A 27213-nucleotide genomic window follows, 5' to 3' on the forward strand; every position below is an offset into this window, starting at 1 on the left:
TTTGATGATCATGAAAAAGTCTGCTATAAACATCCTTGTCCAGGTTCTTACGTGGACATAAGAATTTTTTTCTTTTGGATAAATGTCAAGGAATGTAATTCTGGGTTATTAAAAATATATTTAGCTTTGTAAAAAAAAATCCAAATTATCTTTCAGAACGACTGTACTATTTTGCATTCCCACCTGGAATGTGAGTTTCTGTTGCTCCACATCTTTGCCAGAATGTGGTGTTGTCAGTATTTTTTGTTTTGGACATCCCTTTAGTTCAAACGGTACCTCGTTGTGTGTAGTGGTATCTTATTGTTTTATATTGCAATTCCCTAATAAATGGATATTGAGCATTTGTATACACTTATTTGCCATCTGTATGTCTTCTTCTGTTAAATGCCTATACATCTTTTGCCCATTTTTTAATCAAGTTGTTTGTTTGCTTATTGTTGAGTTTCAAGTTTTCTTTGTGTATTTTGGATAGCAGTCCTTTATCAGATGTGTCTATTGCAAATAGTTTCTTCCAGTCTTTGGCTTGTCTTTGCATTTTCTTGATGGTGTTTTTCACAGAGCAGTGTTTTTGTTTTCTTTTTTTTTTTAATGTTGATGTAGTTCCACTTATCAATTATTTCTTTCATGGATCATGCCTTTGGTGTTGTATCTAAAAATTCATGGTCAAAACCAAGGTCAGGCCGGGTGTGGTGGCTCCCTTCTGTAATCCAAGCATTTGGAGGGCCTCAGGCAGGAGGATCATTTGAGCTCAGGAGTTTGAGACCATCCTGGACAACATAAGTAGACACCCCCATGTAGTTCTGCATGGCTAGGGAGGCCTCAGGAAACTTCCAATCATGGCAGAAGGCAAAGGGGAAGCAAGCACCTTTCTCATAAGGCAGCAAGCCAAATCACATTTTCAATTAATCCAGATACATTCTTAAAATTTAAAGACATGGGTCATAAAAGGGGAGAAAATATTTAGAATACATGTAAGAGAATATTTTTCTTTTGCAGATATATTTTATGATCATAATAGACTTTTTTAGTATTAAAATAGTAGAAACATTTCATATTCATGACATAACTTTTTTGGAGGTAAACAATATTTTGTTGAAGGTAGTACATTTATATAACTACTTTTGAAATTGAGACAGAATACACATAACATAAAATTTACCATCTTAACCATCTTTAGTGTTCAGTATTTTCAATTACAGTATGTTCATATTGTGTGAACAATCTCAAAAAAATTATATTGCAAAACTGAATCTCTGTACCCATTTAAGAGCAAATATCAAATTCCTCTTCCCCCAGCTACTATCAACCCCCATTGTATCTTCTGTTTCTATGAATTAGACTACTCTTGATACTTTATATAAGTGTAATCATACAGTAGATGTCTTTTTGTGACTGGCTTATTTCATTTAGAATAATGCACTCAAGTTTCATTCATGTTGCAGAGTGAGTCAAAATTTCCCTCTCTTTAAATGCTGAATAAAATTCCATTATATAGATATACCCCATTTGCTTATCCATTCGTCAATGGACACTTGATAATTCCCATCATTTGTCTATTACAAGTAATGCTGCTATGCATATGAATCTGTCCATATCTCTTTGAGACCCTGTATTCAATTATTTTGAACACATACCAAGAAATGGAATTGCTAAATTATATGGTAATTTCAATTTTAATTAATTGAGAAACCACCATATTGTTCTTCACAGTCCTGCACCATTTTACATTCCAACCAACAGGGCACAAGATTTCCAATTTTGCCACACCCTCACCAATACTTGCTATTTACTTTTTTGTTTATTTTGATATACACATTTTGATGGGTGTGTGTGTATGATATCTCATTGATGTTTTGATTTGCAGTTTTAAATTATTATTGATGTTGAGCATCTTTTCATGTGCTTGCTAGCCATTCATATGTCTTTTTTGAAGAAATGTCTTTTCAGATACTTTACCTTTAAAAATATTGCATGATATTTTCTTGTTGAGTTGTAAGAATTCTTTATAAATTCTAGATTTTAACCCCTTAGCAGATAAATGATTTACAAATATACTCTGTCATCTTATATGTTGCTTTGTCACTCAATTGTGTCTTTTCATGAACTAAAGCTTTTATTTTTCATCTAGTCCAATTTACCTATTCTCACTTTTGTTGCTGGTGCATTTGGTGTCTTATTCAAGAAATCATTGCCAAATCCAACATCATGAAGTTTTTTCTTGTATTTTATTCTAACACTTTTATTATTTTAGTTCTTATGTTTAGGTATTTGATCTATTTGAGTTTATTTTTATATATTGTTTGAAGTAAGGATTCAACTTTATTATTTTGTATGTGGACATCCAGTTTTCCCAACTCCATTTGGTGAAGACTGTCCTTTCCCTATTGAGTGGATTTGGCATCTTTGTAAAAATTATTCGAACACATATGCAAGGATTTATTTTTATGATTTATATGCTTTTTCATTAGGCTATATATGTCTTTATGCCAGCACCACACTCTTAATTACTGTGCCCTTGTAATAAGTTTTGAAATCAGAAAGTGTGACACCTTCAACTTTGTTATTTATCATGAGTGTTTTGGCTATTCAGGGACCGTTGACATTTCATATGGATTTTAGGATAAATTTGTCTATATCTTCAAATAATGCCATTGGAATTTTGATATGAATTGCATTACACCCGTAGATAGTTTTGTCAGTATTTTCATTTTAATAATATTAAGTCTTTCAACCTATGAACAAAGAATATCTTTCCATTTTTTGTGTCTTCATTTTTTCAGACAGGTTTTGTAGTCTTCAGTGTACAAGTATTTCATCTACATGGATAATTTATTCTTAAGTATTCTATTATGTCTATGCAATTTTACATCATTGTTTCTTAATTTTATTTTCAATTGTCCATTGTTTATGGTAATGCAATTTATTTTTGCTCATTGATTTTGTATCTTACAATGTCACTGAATGTGTTTAATTGGGGTGTGTGTGTGTATGTGTGTGTGTGTGTGAAGTTTTTCAGGTTTCTTAAATACAGGATAATATCATTTGCAAACAAATATTTTTAATTCTTTCTTTCTTTCTAATTTGGATGTTGTTTATTTCTTCTCTTTTGTAATTGTTCTGGCTAAGTCTTCCAGTACTATCTTGAAGTGACAAAGGAGGGCATTTTTATTTTGTTTTTGTTTTTAAAGGAAAAGTCTTTCACTATTGGCTAAAAGGCTAGCTGAGGAGGCCGGGCGCGGTGGCTCACGCTTGTAATCCCAGCACTTTGTGAGGCTTAGACGGGCAGGTCACCTGAGGTCAGGAATTCGAGACCAGCCTGGCCAATATGGCGAAACCCCGTCTCTACTAAAAATACAAAAATTAGCTGGGCGTGGTGGCATGTGCCTGTAGTCCCAGCTGCTCAGGAGGTTGAGGCAGGAGAATCGCTTGAACCTGGGAGGCTGAGGTTGCAGTGAGCCGAGATCGCGCCATTGCACTCCAGCCTGGACAACAAGAGCGAAACTCCGCCTCAAAAAAACAAAAGGTTAGCTGAGGACTTTCATACATAGCCTTATAATGTTCAGATAGTTTCTCCTTATTTCTAGTTTTTTAAGTTGTTTTCATTATGAGAGGTTGGTGAATTTTATCAATATTTTCTGCAACAATTGAGATGATCATGACCTTTTTCATCATTTTGTTAATGTAGTGTAATACATTTATTAATTTTTACATGTTGAACAACCTTGCATACCAGGGTAATTCCCACTTGGTCATGATGTACAATATTTTTAATGAACTGTTGAATTCTATTTATAGTACACATGCTCCTAGACTAATGATGAAGTTACTTTCTGATAAACTCATCATAAGTTGAAAATATTGTAAGTCAAATACATTCAACCTACCAGACAAAATAGTTTAACTTAGCCCACCTTAGACGTGCTCAAATCACTTACATTAGCCTTCAGTTGAGCAAAATCATCTAACACAAATCCTATTTTATAATAAAGTGTTGAATATCTCACATAATTTATTGTATAGTATCCTGAAAGTGAAAAACAGAATGATTATATGGGCACTTGAAGTATAGTTTTTACTGAATGTCTATAACTTTCACACTATCATAAAGTGAAAAAATCATAAATTGAACCATCGTAAGTCAGGGACTGTCTGTATCATGTATGTGCTTGCATCAATATTCATCATGAACAGTGGTCTGTATTTTTTTATGTAGTGTCTGTGTCTGGCTTTGTTATCAGGGTAATGCTGACCTCCTAGAATGAGATTGAATATATTCTTTCTTTTCTATTTTTTTGTAAAAGTTTGAGGTACATTGGTGTTTATTATTTTTTAAATGTGTGAGAAATTTACCACTGAAGCCATTGGCTCTGAGTTTTTCTTTTTTGAGAGGTATTTGATTAGTAAATCTCCTTACTAGTTATAAGTCTGTTCAGACTCTATTTCTTCATGATTTAGTTTAAGTGGTTTGTTGTGTTTCTGGGAACTTATTAATTTAATCTAGGTTATAAAATTTGTTGGTGTACCAGCATTCATAGTATTCTCTTGTAAATTTTTATTTCTATAAAATTGTGTGATTCCTTTTTCATATCTGATTTTAGTTATTTCAGTATTCTCTCTCTCTTCTGATAATCCACCTACGGTTTTGTTAATTTTGTTCATTTTTTCAAAAATCCAACTCTTGGTTTTATTTACTTTTTCTATGATTTTGGATTATTATTTTTGGTAAGCAGAATAAGCTTAAAAATCAATACAAATAGAAAAAAACTACCCAGTAGAGTAATAGTCAAATATAAGAACAAGAAATTCATATCAGAGGAAATCTAAATAGAGAACATACAAAATAATTTAAAGTAGCTATAAGAGAAGTGCAAATTAAAATTGCACTTAGAGTTATACTTTTTTCCCTGTCATTCTACTCCCAAACAATTAAGCTATGAAGGCATTTCATAGGACAGCAAGGTAGTGGTTGCAGTAGGTGGAGTGCAGTGGAAAGTCATGATGTCTCAGAGTAGAGTATCAGAGAATGATTAAGACAAGAAGGACATCCATGTGATGTTGAGGGTGGGGATGAGGCCATCATAGAAATCCAGAACCTGAATGGAGTCAGGAGCACCTCCATGCACAGGGGAAACTAATGTCGGGTATCAGAGCCAAAGCAGGGTTAGAAGGGAGTCCATGCTGATTAAAAACTAAGGATCAGATCCTTAGTGGATTATAGGCAGTATTATGTAGGAAGTATCTCCTGGCATAGTAGTTTAGACTCCAAGAAGGATAAGGAAAATGTCCACGTGGGAAGTGTGTGTTAGATGGAGTGTTAGAGCCTGAGCTGAGTGAGTAACTTATACATTCAAGGAAGGTACCAGGCATGGGGAGTCAGAGCTCAAATTAAGGTGAGGAAGACTTCCATGCAATCTCAAGCGAGAATAAAATAGATCCATAAGATAAAATCTTAGAGTCTGAGTGCAGTAAGGAGGATAAATTCACAGCGGTAGGTTAAATTTTTACCTAGTCATTCGTATATGAATTAAAATCTAGTTCTATTTAATCATCTCCTATGTCAAATAGTGTTATGAGGAACACTGGACAAGAAAAATGATGTTGAACAAATATTTGTCAGCTAGATTTTCTCTAAAAACTTTTATTAGATTTTTTTAAAAGCCTGTCTTATTTTATAAAGGATAAATTAAAAGCTATTAGCATGTCAAAATTCTTAACATGGCATACAATTCCATATTTATTTCAAGTTCAATTCCAAGTTATTTTAAATTTAATTCCAAAATAAATTTCATAATTCTTTTAAATTCCAGTCTTGCATTCTATTTTTTTCCTAGACACAGTTGGCTCTAGCCCCACTGAATTTCTCAGGTATTTCTTTAATATTCTCTCTGACTCTGTTTTCTCTATCCCTCTGTCTGCTTTGTTGATAGTCATTCTTTAAGATCTAGTATTATAAGTACATTTCTTCAAGATCTAGTATTATAAGTACATTTCCTTTAATATTACAGGAAGATTAATTGTTCAGTATGACACTTTATTTTCTGCATTATTCCCTCCCTATTTCATTATGCTCTTGCTTACCTCATACCAGTGCCATTTTTACTCTGTGTCCATTTAGTTGTAAACTCCTTCCCATGATAGAAAGTCACTTAATCTACCCAAACCAACCATATCAAAATATTTTTGCCACTTTTTTCTGCGTTATTGTTCTTCCAATTAAATCACCATCACCACCACCACCACCACCATCATCATCATCATTCAAGAAAATATTTAAAATCACAATTTTTCTAAAACCCCTCTAAGGTAATATTTTAGCCTGATGTTGGAAGATCTATTTTATATCCAGGAATTAATTCACCATTGCAGATCATCTACTTTATCTAACATAATCTCATCTATGCACATAGTACTGAAACCTGGTTGAAGAAATGAAATGTAATAATTCAGCTTTATAATAACAGATGTTTAGCATTTATAATACAAAGTGTAGAGAAATTTGTGAAATTTGTCATTTCATATTTACAAGATTTAATAACCTACTGATATTTTATACGTTATATAATTATTTTACATCTATTTTCTGGTTCAAACTAGTAAAGTCGAAAAGTAAAGTAAAACAATTTATCATGATAAAAATCTGGCTAAAAATTCCAATAGTTTATTAGGCTTTGTGAGTCATCCAAAAATTTTTTAAAATAGTAATATGATTATAGAATAATATTGAAGTAATTTGGAATTAAATATGAATGAATTAATTATCATTTCAAGTGAACACACTAATAGTTATCAAAACAATTTAATGCTTTGTTTTTAATGGTTCAAAGAATCCATTCCATCAGTTATCAAGAAATGTTAGAATGCTTTTATGTGTGAAATGTAATACTTTGATCACGGCATAATATTCCTACATAAAAAGGGAAAATAAATTTTGAAAAACAACCTTCCACATAAATAAATTGATTATCATTAGAAACACATCTCTCAATCTTACTTGACTATTCTTGAATAGAGAATGTTTCCTTTCTTTATTGCTGCATAACAAAATATCTCAAAACTTAGTGTTTAAAATATAAATAATTTTTTCTCACGATTTTCTAGGTTCCTTAGCATCATCTGGGCATTTGTCTGCCACCTGTTTTCAGCTGAAGCTTCATTACCTTTCAGCTGAGTAGAGCTTGGGATGTGTAAGTTAGTTTCATGCACCCATTTTGGGTCTCAACAAGACTAGTTGAAACAGTCAGCAGCAGACTGGCCCCCTGTTTCTCCAAGTAGTCTTTCATCATTTAGTAGTCTGACTTGAGCTTTTTAAAGTGGTGTTCCTATATCAAGGAACAGAAAGAAGAAGTTACAAAACCTTTCATAAGGTGAGGGTTTTGAACTCTCATATAATTGTTATAACATTTTATTAACCAAAGAAAGCCATTAACACCAGCCAAGGCTTTTTTAAAAAGTAGAAAACTCACCTCTTGAGAGAGAAAGGACAAGAATGTACAAACATAAGAAAAATTGCTAGTAACAGTTTCGGAAAAAATCTGCTATGGTTCATATGTTTGTTGCTGCTGAACCTGTTAAAATTTTATCCCTATTGTTGGAGGTGGGGCCTAATGGGAGGTGTTTGGTCATGGTGGTGGATTTTTTGTAAACAGATTAATACCCTACATTGAGGGTGAATGAGTTCTCACTCTATTATTCCCCAGGATAGCTGGTTGTTAAAAAAAAAAGCCTGGCAAGTTCACACCATTGCATCCATTCTTGCCATGTGATCTCTGTACACACTGGCTCTGCTTCACTTTGTGCCATGAGTGGAAGCAGCCTGAGACCCTCTCAAGTTGCAAATGTTCAATCTTGCACTTTCCAGCCATTGAGCATAGTGATCCAAAAACGAACAAACAAACAAACAACAACAACAAAAAAACCCATTTTCTTTATAAATTACCCAACTCAGGTATTTCTTTCTAGCAACACATGACAAACTTAAACAGAAAATTCATACTGGGAACAGAGAATTGCTGTAAACATACCTGAAAATGTGGAAGTGGGTTTGGAACTGGGTAATGAGCAGGGATTGGAAGAGTTTAAATAGAAAAAGATAGACAAGGGGAAATTTGGAGCTTCATAGAGATTGTTTAAGTGGTTGTGACAAAAATGCTGATTGAAATATAGACAGTAATGGTTATGTTGCCCAGGACTCAGATGGAAATGTATTTATTGGGAACTAGAACGAAGGTCACCCACGTAATACCATAGCAAAGAACTTGGCTGCATTGTGTCAATAGGCTTTGTGGAAGGATGAACTTAATAGTGGTGATCTAGGTGGAAAAAATTTCAAAGCAATAAAGTGCTCAAAAAGTGGTGTGTTTACATTTAACAGCTTCTGCTGAATTATGGCAGCAACGAAATGGTCTAAAGGTGGAATTTACCATTAAAAGGAGAGAGAAGCAGAGTAAGATGGCTGAATAGAAGGCTCCACTAATTTACTGATCATTACCTCCCTCAGTAAAATCAATTTTTACAACTATCAACACAAAAAAGTACCTTCTTAAGAACCAAAAATAAGGTAAGAACTCACAGTCCCTGGTTTTAACTTCCTATTGCTGAATGAGGCACTGAATAGGTGTATTAGTCCATTCTCACACTGCTATAAAGAAATACCTGAGACTGGGTAATTTATAAAGAGGCTCATAGATTCATGGTTACACAGGCTATACAGAAAGCATAGTGGCTTCTGCTTCTGGGGGTGCCTTGGGGAGCTTTTACTCATGGCAGAAGGCAAAGCAGGAGCAGGTAAGTCTCACATGGTAGGAGCAGGAGCAAGAGAGAGAGGGAGGAGGTGCTACACACTTGTAAACAACCAGATCTCATGAGCACTCACTATATATTACCAAGGGTAGATGGTGCTAAACCATTCATGAGAAACTGCCACCATGATCCAATTAACTCCCACCATGCCCCACCTCTAACACTGGGGATTACAATTTGACTTGATATTTGGTGAGGACACAGATCCAAACCATATTAACAGGGTAGGAAAGACAGTCTTTGATTGCTGATGCCATGCTTTGCCCATTCCCTGACAGCAGTTGGTCAGTGCATAGAGATAATGTACAGCTAAGGAGAAGGAGAGTACAGCGATTGTGAGACTTCGCATAGAAATCAGTGCTGCCCTGTCACAGCAGAGAGCAAAACCACGCTGAACTCAGCTAACACCCACTCATGAAGGGAGCATTTACATGAGCCCTAACCAGAGGAGACTCTCCCATCCCAGTGGCAGATCTTGAGTTTTGGCAAACCTTGCTACTGCAGACTAAAGTTCACTGGGGCTCTAAATAAACTTGAAAGGCAGTCTAGGCCACAATGAGTTAAATTCCTAGGTGAATCCCAGTGCTGAACTGGGCTCAGAACCAGTGGACTTGGGGAACACATGACCTACTGAGACACCAGCCTGGGCAACTAGGGAGTGCTTGTGCTGCTCCTCCCCCAATCCCAGACAGCACAGCTTGCAGTTCCAAAAGAGACCCTTTCATTCCACTTGAGAGGAGAGGTAAGAGTAAAGAGGACTTGGTCTTGCATCTTGGATATCAGCTCAGCCACAGTAGGATAGGGCTCCAATCAGAGCTGTGAAGCCCTTATTCCAGCCCTCACTTCTGGATGGCATGTCATGGACACATCATGGACCAGAGAGGACCCTGCTGCCCTAAAGGGAAGGATGCAGTTCTGGCAGAATACATCACCTGATGACTAAACAGACCTTGGGCCCTGAATAACCAGCAGTCATACTCAGGTAGTAGGCCATAGGTCTTGGGTGAGATTTTGAGATGTGCTGCCTTCAGGTGAGACCCAGCATATTCCCAACTGTGGTGACTATAATGAGACTCATTCTGCTTGAGAAAAGCAAAGAGAAAAGTAAAGGGGACTTTGTTTTGCACTTTAGGTACCAGGTATGCCACAGAGAGGTATCAAGTCCAACATCAAGTGGACTGTTGGAGTCCCCAGTTCCAGGATTTGGCTATTGGATGGCATTTCTGCACCTTCTGTGGGCAAGAGGGGAGCCCACTTCCCTGAAGGGCAAGTCCCACGTCTGGCAGCATTCACTACAAGCTGATTGAAGAGTTCTTGGGCCTTAAGTGAGCATCGGTGGTATCCTGGCAGTATTCCCTCTGGGCCTGTTGTGTTGGTGGAAATGGGATGAGAATCTACTGCCTGTAGAAAGGGGAGAGAACAGTGGGAAAAAAAACTGCATCCTTTGGTTTGAGCACCAGCTCAGCCACACTTCAACAGAACACCAGGTAGCTTTCTAAGCTTTTTGACTCTAGTCCTTGGGTCATGGATGATACCTCTGGACCTGGACAAGGCCTGGGGAAACTTGGTGTCTTGAAGGGAAGGACACAAACCTGGCTGGCTTCACGCTCTGCTAATCATAGAGCCCTAGATCCTTGAGTGAACATAAGCAATAGTCAGGTAGTGGTTACAGTGGGCTTTGGGTGAGACCCAGTGCTGTGCTGGCTTCAGGTATGACCCAGCACAATTACAGTGCTGGTGGCCACTGGGGTGCTTGTGTCACAACAACTGTAGCTCCTGGTAGTTCAGAATGGACAGAGAGACTTCATTTATTGAGGACAAGGAAAGGGAAGAAAACAAGTGTCTCTGCCTTGTGGTCTAGAGAATTCTTCCAGAACTTATCGAAGGCAACAAGGTGGTACCTCTACAAGTGTGCAAGAACCACAGTGTTCTTGGGCTTGGAGTGCCCTCTATTGCAGATATGGCTTACATCAAAATCCTCAGTATATATATATATATCTGGAAAGCTTTTTCAAAATGGATGGGCACAAACAAGCCCAGAATGTGAAGATTTCAATAAATACCAAACTCTTCCATGCCCAGACATGGGTGGACATCCACAAACATTAAGAGGATTAATGAAAACATGACCTCACCAAGCAAACTAAATAGGGCAACATGGACCAATCATGGAGAAACAGTGATATGTGACCTTTCAAAATAGCTGTTTTAAGGAAACTCAAGATAACCTAAGGAAGGAATTAAGAATTCTAACAGATAAATTTAACAAAGAGACTGAAATAGTAAAAGATAATCGGCCAGGCACAGTGGCTCACACCTGTAATCTCAGCATTTTGGGAGGCCGAGGCGGGCAGATCACGAGGTCAGGAGATCGAGACCATCCTGGCTAACACGGTGAAACCCCATCTCTACTAAAAATACAAAAAATTAGCTGGGCATGGTGGTGGGCACCTGTGGTCCCAGCTACTCGGGAGGCTGAGGCAGGAGAATGGCGTGAACCCAGGAGGCAGAGCTTGCAGTGAGCCGAGATCGTGCCACTGCACTCCAGCCTGGGCAACAGAGCGAGACTCCATCTCAAAAAAATAAAAAAAAAACCAAGTAAAAATTATGGAATTAAAAATGTGACTGCCATAGTAAAGAGTGTATCACAGTCTTATAATAGCAGAATTCATCAAGCATAAGAAATAATTATAGTGAGTTTGAAGACAGGCTATTTGAAAATAAAGTAGACAAAAGAGGGAAGAATAAAAAAGAATGAAGCATGCATACAAAATCCAGAAAATAGCCTCAAACAGGAACATCTAAAAGTTTTGGCATTAAAGGAGGAGGTTGAGAAAGACATAGGGGGAGACAGTTTATTCAAAATAATCGTAACAGGAAATTTCTCACACCAAGAGAATAATATCAACATTAAAGTACTAGAAGGTTATAGAATACCAAGCAAATTTAACCCGAAGAAGACTAACCCAAGGCATTTAATAATCAGACTCCCAAACATCAAGGTTAAACAACAGATCCTAAAAACAGCAAGAGAAAATAAACAAATAACATACAATAAAGCTCCAATAGGTCTGGCAGTACACTTGTCAGTAAAAACCGTACAGGTCAGGAGAGAGGGGCAAGAAATTTAAAGTGCTGAAGGAAAAATAAAAAACATTTACCCTAGATTAGTATAAGTGGAGAAAATATCCTTCAAGCATGAAGGAGAGAAAATATCTTCAGAGACAGACAAAACCTAAGGGATATCATCAACACAAGAACTGTTCTATGAGAAATGCTAAAGGGAATCCTTATATCTGAAAGTAAAGGAAGTAAATAATCAAGAAGAAATGATCTGAAGATACAACTCACTGGTAATAGTAAGCACATAGAAAAAGAATATTATTAACACTGTAACTATGGTGTGTAAACTTATGAAGAGAGAACAAATAATGAATCAATCAAAAATAATGAACACAAACACTTTTAAGACAAAGACAGTACAATTAGAAATACAGGAAAACAGCAAAAAGCTAAAAATTCAGGGTACAAAGTTAAGGGTTAGTTTTTATTAGTAGAGTTTTTATTAGTTTTCTTTTTACTTGTTTGTTTATGAAAACAGTGTTAAGTTGTTATCAGTTTAAAACAATGGGTTATAAAGTTGTATTTTCAAGCCTTATGGTAATTTCAAACTAAATATTAGACAATGAATACACACAAAAAAACAAGGAATTAAATTGTACCAACAGAGAAAACCACTTTCATTAAAAGAAAGAAAGACAAGAAGAAAGCAAAGAATAAAGAGAAGACTACAAAACCACCAGAAAACAAGTAACAAAATGGCAAGAGTAAGTTCATACTTATCAATGATAACACGGAATATAAATGGACTAAACTCTACAATCAAAAGACACAGAATCACTGAATGCATAATGAAACAAGATCCAATGATTTGTTGCCAACAAGAAACACACTTCACCTATGAACTCACACATAGATGGAAAGTAAGGAACAGGAAAAGTTATTTCATGTCAATTAAAACCAAAAAAAGAGTAGAAGTAGCTATATTTATATCAGAAAAAAATAGATTTCAGGATAAAAACTGTAAGAAGACAGAAGAAGGTCACTGTATAGTGATAAAGGGGTCAATTCAACAAGTTGATATAACGATTGTAAATACATATGCATCCAACAGTGTATCACCCAGATATATAAAGCAAATATTATTATGCTTACAAAAGAAAGACTCCAAAAAATAAAAGCTGAAGGCTTGAACATGCCATTTTCAATAGTTTCAGAATTGGGCATATCTTCCAGACAGAAAAAAATATATATAAGACTTAGTCTGCACTATTAACCAAATAGACCTAATAGATATTTACAGGACATTTCATCCAATGGCTATGGAATACACATTTTTTTCTTCAGGACATGGATCATTCTCATGGATAGACTATGTTTGGTCACAAAGCATGTCTTGAAACATTCAAAAAATAGAAATAATACGAAGCATCTTCTCTGAACATGATGGAATAAAACTGAAAATCAATAACGAGTAATTTCAGAAACAATACAAACACATGAAAGTTAAAAAATATGCTCCTGAATGGCCAGTGGGTCGAAGAAAAAAGGAAGATTTAAAAAAATTGTTGAAACCAATGATAATGAAATCACAATATACCAAATCCTATGGGATATAATGAAAGTATTACTAACAGGGAAGCATACAGCTATAAGTGCATACAAGAAAATAGAATAAAAATTTTAAATAAACAACCTAATGATGCCTATTAAAGAACTAGAAAGGCAAGAGCAAATCAAAACCCAAATTAATAGAAACAAATAATAAGAATTAGAGCAGAAATAAATAAATTTGAAATGAAAAAAGCAGTACTAAAGATCAATGAAACAAAGTTTATTTACTGAAAAGATAAAATGAACTAACCATTAGTCACACTAACAAAAAAAGAGAACATCTAAGTCAATATAGTCAGTGATAAAGAAGGAGACACGACAACCGATACTGTCTGCTATGAGCAATTGTATGCCAATAAATTGAAAAATCAAGAAGACATGTACTAATTCTTATGATCATTTCCATTGATGTTGAAAAATTATTTGATAATATTTAGCATCTCTTCATGAAAAAAATTAAGAAACTGGGTACAAAGGAACATATCTCAATATAATAGAAACCACAGACAAAAAATCCATAGCTAGTATCATACTGAATGTGGAAAAACTGTAAGCCTTTCTGCTATGATCTGGAACACAAGGATGCTCACTTTCACCACTGTTATTCAATATAGTACTATAATTCCTAGCACAGCAATCCGACAAAAGAAAGTAATAAAAGGCATCCAAATTTGGAAAGAAATAAGTCAAATTAACCTTCTTTGCAGATGATATGATCTTATATTTGGAGAACCCTCATGACTTCACCAAAAAAAACAGTATTAGAACTGATAAACAATTTCAGTAAAGTTGCAGGATACAAAATCAACATACAAAAGTCAGTGCATTTCTATATGTAACAGGGCACAAACTGAAAAAGAAATAAAAAAACATAATCTCATTTACAATAGCTACAAGTAAAATACCCAGGAATTAATGGAAGAAGTAAAAAATTCTGTAATAAAACCTATAAAGCACTAATGAAAAAAATGGAGAGAACACCTAAAAAAGGAAAAATATTCTATGTTCATGGATTGGAAGAACTGATATTGTTAAAATGTTCATACTACTGAAAGTAACCTACAATTTCTATTCAATTCCTAACAACATGCCAATGACATTTTTCACTAAAATAGAAAAAAAAATCCTAAAATTTGTATGGAACCACAAAATATCCAGAATAGCCAAAGCCATTTTAAGCAAACAGAGCAAAACTAGAGATATCACATTATCTTACTTCAAATTATACCACAGAGCTATAGTAACCAAAACAGCATGGTACTGACATAAAAACAGACACATAGAGCAATGGAACAGAATAGAGAAACTAGAAACAAATTCACACACCTACAGTGAACTCACTTGTGACAAAAGTGCCAAGAACATACACTGGGGAAAAGACTGTCTCCTCAATAATTGTGCTGGAGAAACTGGATATCCATATGCAAAAGAATAAAACTAGACTCCTATTTCCTGCCATATACAAAAAACAAATCAATAATGATTTAATAATTAAATCTGAGACCTCAAACTATGAAACTGCTACAAGAAAACCTTAAATACACTTTCCAGGCAATTGGACTGGGCAATGACTTTTTTGAGTAATACCCACAAGCACAGGCATCTAAAGAAAAAAAATGGACAAATGGGATACCATCAAGTTTAAAAGCTTCTGCACAGCAATACAATCTAGAAAGTGATGAGATAACCCACAGAATGGGAAAAAAATATTTGCAAACTACCAATCTGACAAAGGATTGATAACTAGAATATATAAGGAGCTCAAAAACATTGTAGGAAACAATCTAATAATCCAATTTAAAAATGGGCAAAATATTTGAATAGACATTTCTCAAAAGAACACATACAAATGACAAAGAGGTATGTGAAAAGGTGCTCAACATCATTGATCATCAGTTAAATACAAATCATGCTTACAATGAGATATCATCTCATCCCAGTTAAAATTGCTTTTATCCAGAAGTCAGGTAATAATAAATTCTGGCAAGGATGTGGAGAACAGTTTCCCACTGTTGGTGGGAATGTAATTTAGTACAACTACTATGGAGAACAGTTTAGAAGTTTTTCAAAAAACTCAAAATAGAGTTACTGTAGGATCCAGCAATCTCACTGCTGGGTATATATCCAAGAAAAAAGAAATTAGTATACTGAAGAGATATCTGCATTCCCGTGTTTATTGCAGCACTAATCACAATAGCCAATTTTTAAAGCACTCTAAATGTGCCTCAACAGATGAATGGATAAAGAAAATTTCTTACCCATAGAAATGAATGAGATCCTGTCATTTGCAACAACATGGATGAAACTGGAGGCTATTATGGTAAGTGAAATAAACAAGGCACAGAAAGACAGCATCACATGTTCTCACTTATTTGTGTGAGCTAAAAATTAAAACAATTGAATTCATGGAGACAGAGAATAAAAGAATAATTTGCAGAGGTTGGGAAGGGGAATGGGGCATGGCAGGGAAGTGGGGACTCTTAATGGGTACAAATAAATAGTTAGAAGAGTGAATAGGACACAGTATTTGCTACCCAAAGAGGGTGACTGTAGAAAAAATATTTTAATTATGTATTTAAAAATAAGTAAAATAACATAATTGAGTTATTTGTAACACAAACAATAAATGCTTGAGGTGATGAATACCTTATTTACCCTAATGTGATGATTACACATAGCATGTTTGTTTCAAAATATCTCATGTAACCCATAAATATGTACACATACTATGAACCCACATAATTTAAAAATAAAAAAGCAGAGCATAAAAATTTGGCAAATTTATGACCTGCCAATTTTTTTAGAGAAGAAATGTTATTTTCAGGAGAGAAATATAAGGGTACTGATAGAGACCACTTGCTAAAGAGATTGGCACGGATAAAAGGGAGCCAGAGGCCAACAGTAAAGGTAATGAAAAAGGGCCCAAAGGCATTTCAAAGATGATTAAGGTCTCTGCTCCCATCACAGACCCCAAGGCTCAGAGAGAGAGAATGATTTTGGTTGATAGGCCTGTGAAACCACTGCCCTGGGCCAACCAAAAACATCGTTCCCCCTATTCCAGCTGCAGATGAAGCTCAAATACACCCAGGTGTTGTTAGGGTAGTCACTCTGAAGAGCGGAATTGTTAGCCTTGGTGGCTTCCATGTGGTGTTAATTCTTCAGGCTTCCAGAATGTAAGAGCCACGAAGGGTTGGTGGTTTCCACCAAGATTTCAGAGAATGTGTCAGAAAGCCTGGGAGCCCTGATGGAACCCTGCCAAAGTGTTGGGGCTGCCACAGATTATACCCACTTGAGCAATGCTTAGTGGAGCTACAGGGGTGAGGCCACTGCTCTACAGTCCCCAGAATTTTAGAGTCACTGGTAGTGTGCACCCTCAGCCTGGAAAATCCTGGGGACTCCATTCCTTGCACCACTGTGCCTCAGATGCAGAATATGTAGTAAAAGGAGATTATTTGGGAGCTTTAAGATTTAATATCTACATTGCTGAATTTAAAACTTGTGTAAGGCCTGTCATTCTTTTATTTTGGTGGATTTTTTTCTTTTAGAATTGAAATGATTGTTCAATGTCTGCATAACCATTGAATCTTGCAAGTAAATAACTTGTTTTGTTTTGTTTTACAGGATTATAGCTGGAAATAACTTACCTTGAGTCTCAGATGAGACTTTTTACTTTGGATTTTTGAGTTGATGTGAAGACTTTTTGGACAATTTGCATGAAATGGTTACATGCTGCATGTGAGAAAATGTAAGTTTTAGAGAGCCAGGGGTGGAATGCCATGGTTTGAATATGGTTTGATTGTCCCCACCAAAACTCATATTGAAATTTGATCCCCAGTGTTACAGTGTTGGAAGGTAGGTCCTAGTGGGAGATGTTTTGTTCAAGGGGGTGGATATGTCACTAGGGGTTTGGGACCTTTCTCACAATAATGAGTTCTTGCTCTTGTAAGAGTTGATGGGTTCCCAGGGAAATGTATTAGTTCTCAACAGAGTAAGTTGTTATAAAGCCAGGATACCCCTCATGTTTGGTCCCATTTCACATGCACCTATTTTCTCTTTGACATTCTCTGCTTTATTTTTTATTTATTTATTTATTTATTTATTTATTTATTTATTTATTTATTTTGAGACGGAATCTCACTCTGTCACCTAGGCTGCAGTTCAGTGGCGCGATCTCGGTTCACTGCAAGCTCCGCCTCCCAGGTTCATGCCATTCTCCTGCCTCAGCCTCCAGAGTAGCTGGGACTACAGGCACCCACCACCACACCCGGCTAATTTTTTGTATTTTTAGTAGAGATGGGGTTTCACTGTGTTAGCAAGAGTGGTCTCCATCTCCTGACTTTGCGATCCACCCACCTTGGCCTCCCAAAGTGCTGGGATTACAGGTGTGAGCCACCGTGCCCGGCCCTCCGCTTTATTTTGATACAGCACAAAAGCCCTCTTTGGAAACTGAGCAAATGCTGGTGCCATGTTTCTGGTACAGACTAAAGAACTGGGAGCTAAATAAACCTCTCTTCTCTATGAATAACTCAGTTTCAGGTATTCCTCTGTAGCAACAAAAAACAGACACAGACACAGTCTATCATAATACACTCTCCGGCTACCACAATCTACATATTTCTTAAAGGCAAATTACACTAATTCTCACAGTCTTATCCAATTGTGGCATAAACTCAAAGTCAAGGATCTCATTATCAGCATTATGTTGAAAAGCAGAAATACCTCAAGCATACGATTGTTCTAAAAACTCTTGAACTAAAATAAGTTCTCTGTCTTTAGACCCCAAACTTACCATTGTTACATGGGGCTTAAATAGCTATCATAGTTACTACCATTGAAAAGGTGCAGAAAGAAAGGCACCTTGGAACACTGGTTCATTAAAAACTGTGCTAGAAACATGTAATGGCTTGCCACTGCTTAGGAGAGAGAAGATGTTCCTTGAATAGTTTTTAATTATGCTTTTGGGAATAGTTCTATAATCTGTTTTTCTTAGTGGCATTTGGCTCCACCTTCTAAGTCTTCCATATTTTTCATAAAATATGTCTTATGTTTGCTATTGAATAATTCCCTTATCCCACTGACTGCCAATAGAAAAATGATAGCCAGAAGCTTCTTTTCATTATGAATAATCTATATGACTATTAGCCCAGGCTGCTTTTGTAAATATAATTAAAAATTAAAATACTTTGTGGTTTTTAGTGAAACTTATTTGAAACCTTTTCATACCACATTCATAATTGTTTCTTAGATGTACCTTTCTCTTCTGTGGGAGTGTCAGGCTGCTGTAAGCCAACATTAAAAAAAAATCTTAATAGTCATTTTATCTAGTGGAGGGGATCTTCTAGGAATGAATTTAAAGATTTTTGAGGTATTTACAAAGGTTTTACAGTTGCAACTTTTATTTTATCTTGATCCTTAGACTATGATTCACTGGCTTTACTATGGTCTTTGCCCTTTAGTGTTTTTTACTTTCAAAACATTTTGTCAACTGAAGAGACTGTCCTGGGTCCCAATTTTTCTTGAAAATACTTTTCCTACTTACCTTTCTTTTGCAATTCCTTATCATAGTCTTCTAAAGTATGTTATTTGATATTTCCAAACATTCTGCCCAGAGTTCTTCTCTAGCCAGATTCCCAAATTTATTAGGTACCTTAACTCTCTTCCATAGTACCTCATCTCTCTTCCATAGTACCTCAGGTGACAGTGCTAGCCAACTTTTGCCAATATATAATAGGGTTTACATTTTTTTCCCATCTATCAGTCATGTTTTGTTCACTATTCTTCTGATGTTTACTAACAGTCTCCTCATAACTTTTCCAGCCTCCAGCTAACATTTTATCTCAAAAGCAGAATACATTTTAGCTTTTCATTAAGGGCAACATTCTACCTACAGATATTAATTTCTGTGTCTGGTATCAATTGCAGAATATCAAAGCACCCAACACATGATAGTGTTAAAATACTATGAATATGATTTCTAATGATTTTATGAGTTGTCTTCCCTTTTTTGTGCACTTCTTCAACAACGTGTGTTCTGCTGTCACTCCTGAAGTTACATGAATCAACAAGTTTCGCTGGGGCTGAAACATCCAAGATCATTGATTTTACTGAAAGCATTGGCACCTTAGATGATATGACTGGAAAAGCTGCAGGCAGAATAGTCATTTTTTTCTACATATATTTTCTCCAGTAGGATATCCAGACTTCTGGTCTCCAAAATAACGAAGTTAAAATTGCTTTGCCTCTTAAGGCCTAGGACCAGATAGAGCACAGCATTAATAAATTCTGTCATATTATATTTATAGTAGTAAGACACAAAACCATCTCAAATCCACATGGAAGGGAAATAGACCACCTTTTCAGGAGAAAAGTGGCATGCACTTACAGGAATGGGAAGAATTGTTGAAGGTCACATTTGCATGTGTTCCACCAGAGGTAGTGCATTATTATACTATGAAACACAGAAGAACAATTAATGGGTTAGGACTTTGATGCTGTGGTTTCGGTTACATTAAAAACATCTTGGGTATGTTTAACTATAAAATGTTAACTAGAATTCAATTCACAAGAACTCTCAAATAATGGGTGTTTGTGAGACTTCAATCAATTTGGATAAGGCTAATAGAAAAATATGTTAATTCCAGAAAAAATATAATCCATAGGCTTCAGTTAATAGAGTGGCTAAAAAATACTTTAAAAATAAAAAAATCCATAGGCCACTTTAGAAATAATCCAGATTTAGTACATAAGCCATTTAGTCTTCTACACCTATAACACATAAACCTTACATGCAGTATGAACTGCTTAGTGATGGATGACCCTGCAGGTCTATAGGGTTTTCAAAGAGGCATTTCATTAAGCTCATCTTATATGAGTTTGTATGTGATATAAACAAAGTAGACAGAGGAATTTTAGACAACTATTAAACAACACAAGTTGAAACAAAGTGTTTTTTGCTTAAGTGTCACTTAAGCACAACATTTAAACAATGTCTACCTACTTCTTAGGCATTCTTGTTAATCAGAGTTTTAATATATTTTGTGAACTCCACATTTTAAAATTAGTTTTATTCAAAGTACTTTATGTATTCTGAAATCTCAAATATGAATTAGAGATAAAATAAACCAAATGATTTTAAAGGCGTATTTCTAAAACTTAGAGAGACAAGCTAGATAAAATCATAATTGAATTCAATTGAAGGTAAATTAAATTGATCAGAGCAGAGGAACAATTCTTATATGCTGAAAAGAAGCCTTTATTCAGGATGGAATACTAAAATGAAGTAATCTATTCAAATACCTTGAAATAAGCAACATTTCCCCCATCAAATTTAAACTAATTTACAGTACATCTATCTTTCTCTTGATACTTTTTCAAATATTTAAATAGCATTCAAAGTTGGGAGATAAATTTCTTCATTTCACTTTCAGAATTTGAGAAGAGTTTAACATTTTCTACTCTAATTCTTCATCCTGACATTTAAACATTAATTGATAGAAAAAATATATAAATTATGGAATTTATGTGTTTGTGATAGAATATCACAAATAAGTTGCTAAAGTAAGGAAGTATATATGGCATTCCATGAAGAATTTTTTATATTTTCATTTTATTTTAAAATTATAACTATCACAATATTATGGGTGTAAGAATGCATAGGAAAGAAAAAATAGTGAAATCATAGCTGAATATACAGATATAACAAGTATGTGTCATGCAGTGGAAATAAAATTTTAGTTTCTGAAATTTTCATTGCATGTTAGCTATTTCTAACTTGCAATACATATCTTTCATAGAATCAATACTATAACTGAAGGTAAATATCTCAGATAATGCAATATTTAAAACAAATTCTGCACAAAATTTGCTATCCCACTCCTAGACTTTAAGGATATGTTCACATTCTCCTGATTTTGGTATCCCATTTAAAATGTCATTATTCTGATTTCTGATATTAAGATGTAGAAAGACATCTGTGTCTTACTTGCTCTCAGCCATCACTACATACCATAATGTAAACTTTCATGTTTTTCTCCCCTATATTTTATTCTACTTTTTGTTATTTAATTCATTTATTATATTATAATTTTATACATACACACGTGTGTGTACATATGTGTGTGTGTGTTATGACCTGTGCCTTTTTTCACATCTACCAGTTGCTGTTCTAGAAGTTCTAGTAGAGGAACTAGTCAAAAGGGAACCTATAAGCATAATGGAAATATTATATATCTTGATTTTGGTGATGGTTACAATGGTTACACACAGAATTGTACACCTAAAACCAGTGAATTCTGTGATATGTAAAATATTCCTTAATATAGCTAAATCTAACTTATAACTGGAATTAATTTTTACCATTGTTAAGTTTAATTTTGAATTAATTAAATCTAACATTAATTGTCATTATTAACTAAATAGAAAACTAATGGTAGTTATTTCTTTGGTAATACTAAGAAAGGTGTGAATGTTTTCTACCAGATAATCCAATATGGTTCTCTTATAATGATAATTCAATTATTCTGTATACTTCTCATTATTTTCTGTACCACATTTTAATTATTCACGTTAGTGAAATTAAGTTCAAACACTTTATTATAAACAATGTCAAAATTATTCTTTGATTTAGCTACTTTCAACCATCAAAAAACTTTTCAAATCTTTCCTGACATATATATATGTATATATATATATATGTGTATATATATGTATATATGTATGTGTATATATATGTATATATATGTATGTGTATATATATGTATATATGTATGTCTATATATGTATATATATGTATGTATATATATGTATATATGTGTGTATATATATACAGGTTCTTTATGGTTTTACTATATGTAATAAGGATTAGTTAGTTAAATAATTATAGGAAACTAAGAATGCTTTCTTTACTGAAAGATTACAGCAATCATAATTAAAACAGAATAATGCAGGCAGTACACAATGTGTTTCCTGGCATTAGAAAACACAAGCACAGACTGACTGAATAAAAATTCAGTAGCAATATAAGTTCAACTTGATGGTATTGAGGGTCCCTGCTTCAAATATTGAGATATTTAAATGTAATTGGCCTAGATTTGTGTTATGTGAAAATTTGATTAGCATGCTATATAATTGTGTTTTGATCATTAATAAGATATAGAATCAAATAAAACAGCCATTTGTCTCATAAATCACTTTATCAAGAATTAAATCAATATATTAATAATTACTCTTTGGATACATTTAAATATTTCTTCATCTGCTACCGTAATAGCTCACATTATACTTAGTGGTCCTAAAGACACCTATTCTCATAGGTAACTAGATGTTTAATAATCCAGTTTAGACATTTTACTGGATATTTATCACAAAGTGTACATAGCAATAATTGAGTATTATTTGGAATTAGACAGGTGCTTCAATTCTGTCTGCCATTTATAAGCTCTATAATGCAGGGCAAGGTACTTGTCTGAATAGTTCACCTGTAAAAAGCTGGAATTTATTTCTGCCAGTCTATGCTAATGTGAATGAATTCCCTATCTGTATTAGTGTCTTTTGGTTAGAAGTAAAAGAGGGCCTTGCTATATTGTCAGTAAGTCGTAATTTTAGAAACCATCTTGTTTGTTGAACTTCTCAATTTTTGTATGTAATTTTTCACAGAACCACTCTCCTTCTCCATTGAATGTTCAAAGATTGTCAACAATGCTTCTCTTTATATTCTGAGATATTAATATTTTCAGATATCGTATGTATAATCAATGAGACTTTAATTCACTTGGAATGTGTAATTTCTCACATAGAATCTCTTGAATTACCTCATTTACCTATTCCAATTTTTGCCTCAATGTCTGTTTCACCTTCACTATATTGAAGTTGATCTCCCTTGATAGAGAAAATGGAAGACAATTAAGAGGTGAATAAGTTTTCTTTATAGTTTTCAGCCCTTAATAAATGTGTCCCAAAGAGTGGACTAATATTTTCTTATTATTCTTGTATATACTGGTTTCACATTAAGTTTTATTTTACTGACAAGAAAGAAATGTTGCTAATATTCTTCTTTGCATGAATATATTATTAATAGAACTACTTTTTATTTTTATATATTTAGGGGATACAAGTGCTTTTTCATTATACACACACACGCATACACACGCATGCACACAGACACACACCCACGCGTGCGCGTGCACACACACACACACACACACGTATATAATGTTAATGTGGTGGTCAATCGGGGCTTTTAGTGTAACCATCACTTGAACAGTGTATATTGTATGCATTAAGTAATTTCTCATCCCAAACCATCCTCCCACCCTTCTGAGATTCCAACGTCTATTATTGCACTATGTCCACGGGTACATATTATTTATTTCTCACTTATAAGTGTGAACATGTGGTATTTGGCTTTCTTTTTCTGAGGTATTTCACCAAAGATAATGCCATTAATTCCATACATGTTGCTACAATGTGATATAAATATATATACCTGCATATATATACACATATATGTGCATATATATACACACATGCACATAAATACACACATACATATCATGTTTTCTTTATCCAATCATATATTTACATCACATTTTCTTTGTTCAATCATCAATTGATGGACACTTAGGTTCATTCCATATCTTTGGTATTGTGAATAGTACAGCAATAAATCTACAGTTGGAGTTGGGTTTTTTTTTACATAATAATTAATTTTCCTTTGGACATATATACCCAGTAGTGGGATTGCTGGATCAAATGAGAGATCCATATTTAGTTTTTTTAGAAATCACCATAATGTTTTCCAAAGAAGTTGTACTAGCTTATATTTGGACCAAGAGTGTATAAGTGTTCCCTTTAATCCACATTATTGCCAACATCTGCTATTTTTGTCTTTTTAATATTAGCCATTCTGACTGCTCTAAGATCATATCTCATTGTGGTTTTATTTGCATTTCTCTGATGATTAATGACTTTAAGCATTTTTTTTTCATATCATTGCTGGCCATTTGTCTTCTTTCACAAAACGTCTGTTCAGTTCTATTGTACAATATTTTCCAAATTTTTAATTGTTGTAGGAACATCGTTGGTGTATATATTTATGAGGTACATGAGATGTCTTGATACTGGCATGTAATACATAATAATCATATTATGGAAGACAGAGTGTCCATCCTTTCAAGTATTTATCTTTTGTGTTACAAACAATCCAATTATACTCTTTTAGTTATTTTTAAATGTACAGTTGCATTATTATTGACTATAGTCACTCTATTGTACTATCAATTACTAGGCCTTAGTCATTCATTCTAAGTATTTTTGTACCCATCAAACATTCCCAGCTCTCTCTGAACCCCCACTACACTTCCCAACTTCTGGTAACCATTCCTCTGCTCTCTATATACATGGGTTCAATTGTTTTTATTTTTAGATTCCAAAAATAAGTGAGAACTTACGTGGTTTGCTTTGTGTCCGTCGCTTATTTCACTCAACTTAATAACCTCCAGTTCCATCCATTTTGTTGCAAATAACTGAATCTCATTCTTTTTATGATTGAAGAGTACTCCATTGTGTATATGTACCACATTTTTTATCCTTACATCTGTTAAGGGACATTTAGGTTGCTTCCAAATCTTGGCTATTGTGAATAGAGCTGTAAAAAACATGGGAGTACAGATATCTCTTCAATATATTGATTTCCTTTCTTTCAGGTATATACTCAGTTTTGAAATTTCTGGATCTTATGGTAGCTCTATAGAGCTACCAAATTGTTCTCCATAGTGGTTGTACTAATTTACATTCCCACCAACAGTGTATGAGAGTTCCCTTTTCTTCACATCTTTGTCAACATTTGTTGTTGCCTGTTAATTGGATATAAGCCATTTTTACTGGGGTGAGATGATATGTCTTGTAGTTTTGATTTGCATTTCTCTGATGATCAATAATGCTGACCACTGTTTTATTTGCCTGTTTGGCATTTTTATGTGTTCTTCTGAGAAATGTCTATTCCTAGTCTTTGCCCATTTTTGATTGGATTATATGATTTTTTGCTATATAGTTGTTTGAGCTCCTTATGTATTCTGGTTATTAATCCATTGCCAGATGGTTAGTTTGCAAATATTTTCTCCCATTCTGTGAGTTGTCTTTTCACTTCGTTGATTGTTTCCCTTGCTGTGCAGAAGCTTCTTAACTTGACATGATCCTGTTTGTCCATGTTTGCTTTGGCTGTCTGTGCTTGTAGTGTGTTACTCAGGAAGTCTTTGTGCAGAACAATGTTATGGAGAGGTTTTCAGGTTTTTTTGTAGTAATTTCATAGTTTGAGACATTATGTATTTAATATATTTTTATTTGATTTTCATATATGGTGAGAAGTAGGGGTCTAGTTTTATTTTTCTGCACATGAATATAGATTTCCTAGCACCAGTTATTGTGAAAAGACTGTCTGTTCCCCAGTATACACTCTTAGCACCTTTGTCTAAAATGAGTTCACTGTAGGGATGTGGATTTTTTTTTTTGAGTTCTCTATTCTATTCTATTGGTCTATGCGCCTGTTTTTATGGCAGTACCAGTGTGTTCACTGTGTTTCAGGGTTCTCTATGCTGCTACATTTGTCTATGTGTCTGTTTTTATGCCAGTATCATGCTGCTTTGTTTACTATAGCTCCGTGGCATAATTTGAAGTCAGGTAATGTGATTCTTCAAGTTTTGTTCTTTTTGCTTAGGGTAGCTTTAGCTATTTTGAGTCTTTTGTGGCCCCTTGTAAATTTTGGGATTATTTTTTCCATTCTGTGAATAATTTTATTGGTATTTCAATAGGAATTGAACTGAAATTGTAGATTGCTTTAGGTGATATGGACATTTTGACAATATTGATTGTTTCAAATGCATGAACATATTTTTTTTTACTTTTTTGTGTCCTCTTTAATTTCTTTCATCAGTGTTTTATAGCTTTACTTCTAGAGATCTTTCACTTCTTTAAGTTAATTTCTATGTATTTAATTTTATGTATGGCTGTTATAAATAAGATTAATTTTTTTATTGTTTTTCAGATTGTACACTGTTGTCATATAGAAATGCTATAGATATTTGTATAGTTACAGATATTGTTTCTTAGATATAATGCTATCATATACACAATAATGTACAGTATAGTGTTAACATAGCTTTTATATTCACTGAGAAACCAAAAACTTTGTTTGACTCACTTTATTGTGATATTTACTTTAATGCGGTGGTCTGGAACTGAATCCACAATATCTCTGGAGATTTGTCTGTACTGATAAGTCTTATAATGTCAATAAAACAGAGTATGGGAAGATTACGCAAGCATGGTTTGTAAAGAACATCATTATACATTTAGTTTTTCAGTAAGACTTCTCTGGATGAGTCGATCTTTGAGCTGAGATGAGAATTATAAGGAGAGAAATGTATTAAAAAAAAGATATTCAAAAATGGTGCTCCAAGCAGAAGAAATAGGAATAATGAAGTCCTCAAAACAAAAATAAGTTAATATGAGTAACAGAAAAAAACAAGACCAGCGTCCTAGAGTTCACTTAGATAGTTATTAAGTTTGAGATACCTACCACACATCCACTGTGGAGACATATATTAGACAGTTGCATATACAAGAATGAAGGCTCTGAGTATGTCCAAAGATAAGGGCTAAACCAGAAGTTTTGACTTTATTTAGAACAAAAAACACTTCTTTCCATCATAAAAAGACAGTAGGGAGTATACATGAGTATAGATA

Source organism: Homo sapiens, chromosome X, assembly GCF_000001405.40.
Source record: "Homo sapiens chromosome X, GRCh38.p14 Primary Assembly".
Classification (NCBI taxonomy): domain Eukaryota; kingdom Metazoa; phylum Chordata; class Mammalia; order Primates; family Hominidae; genus Homo; species Homo sapiens.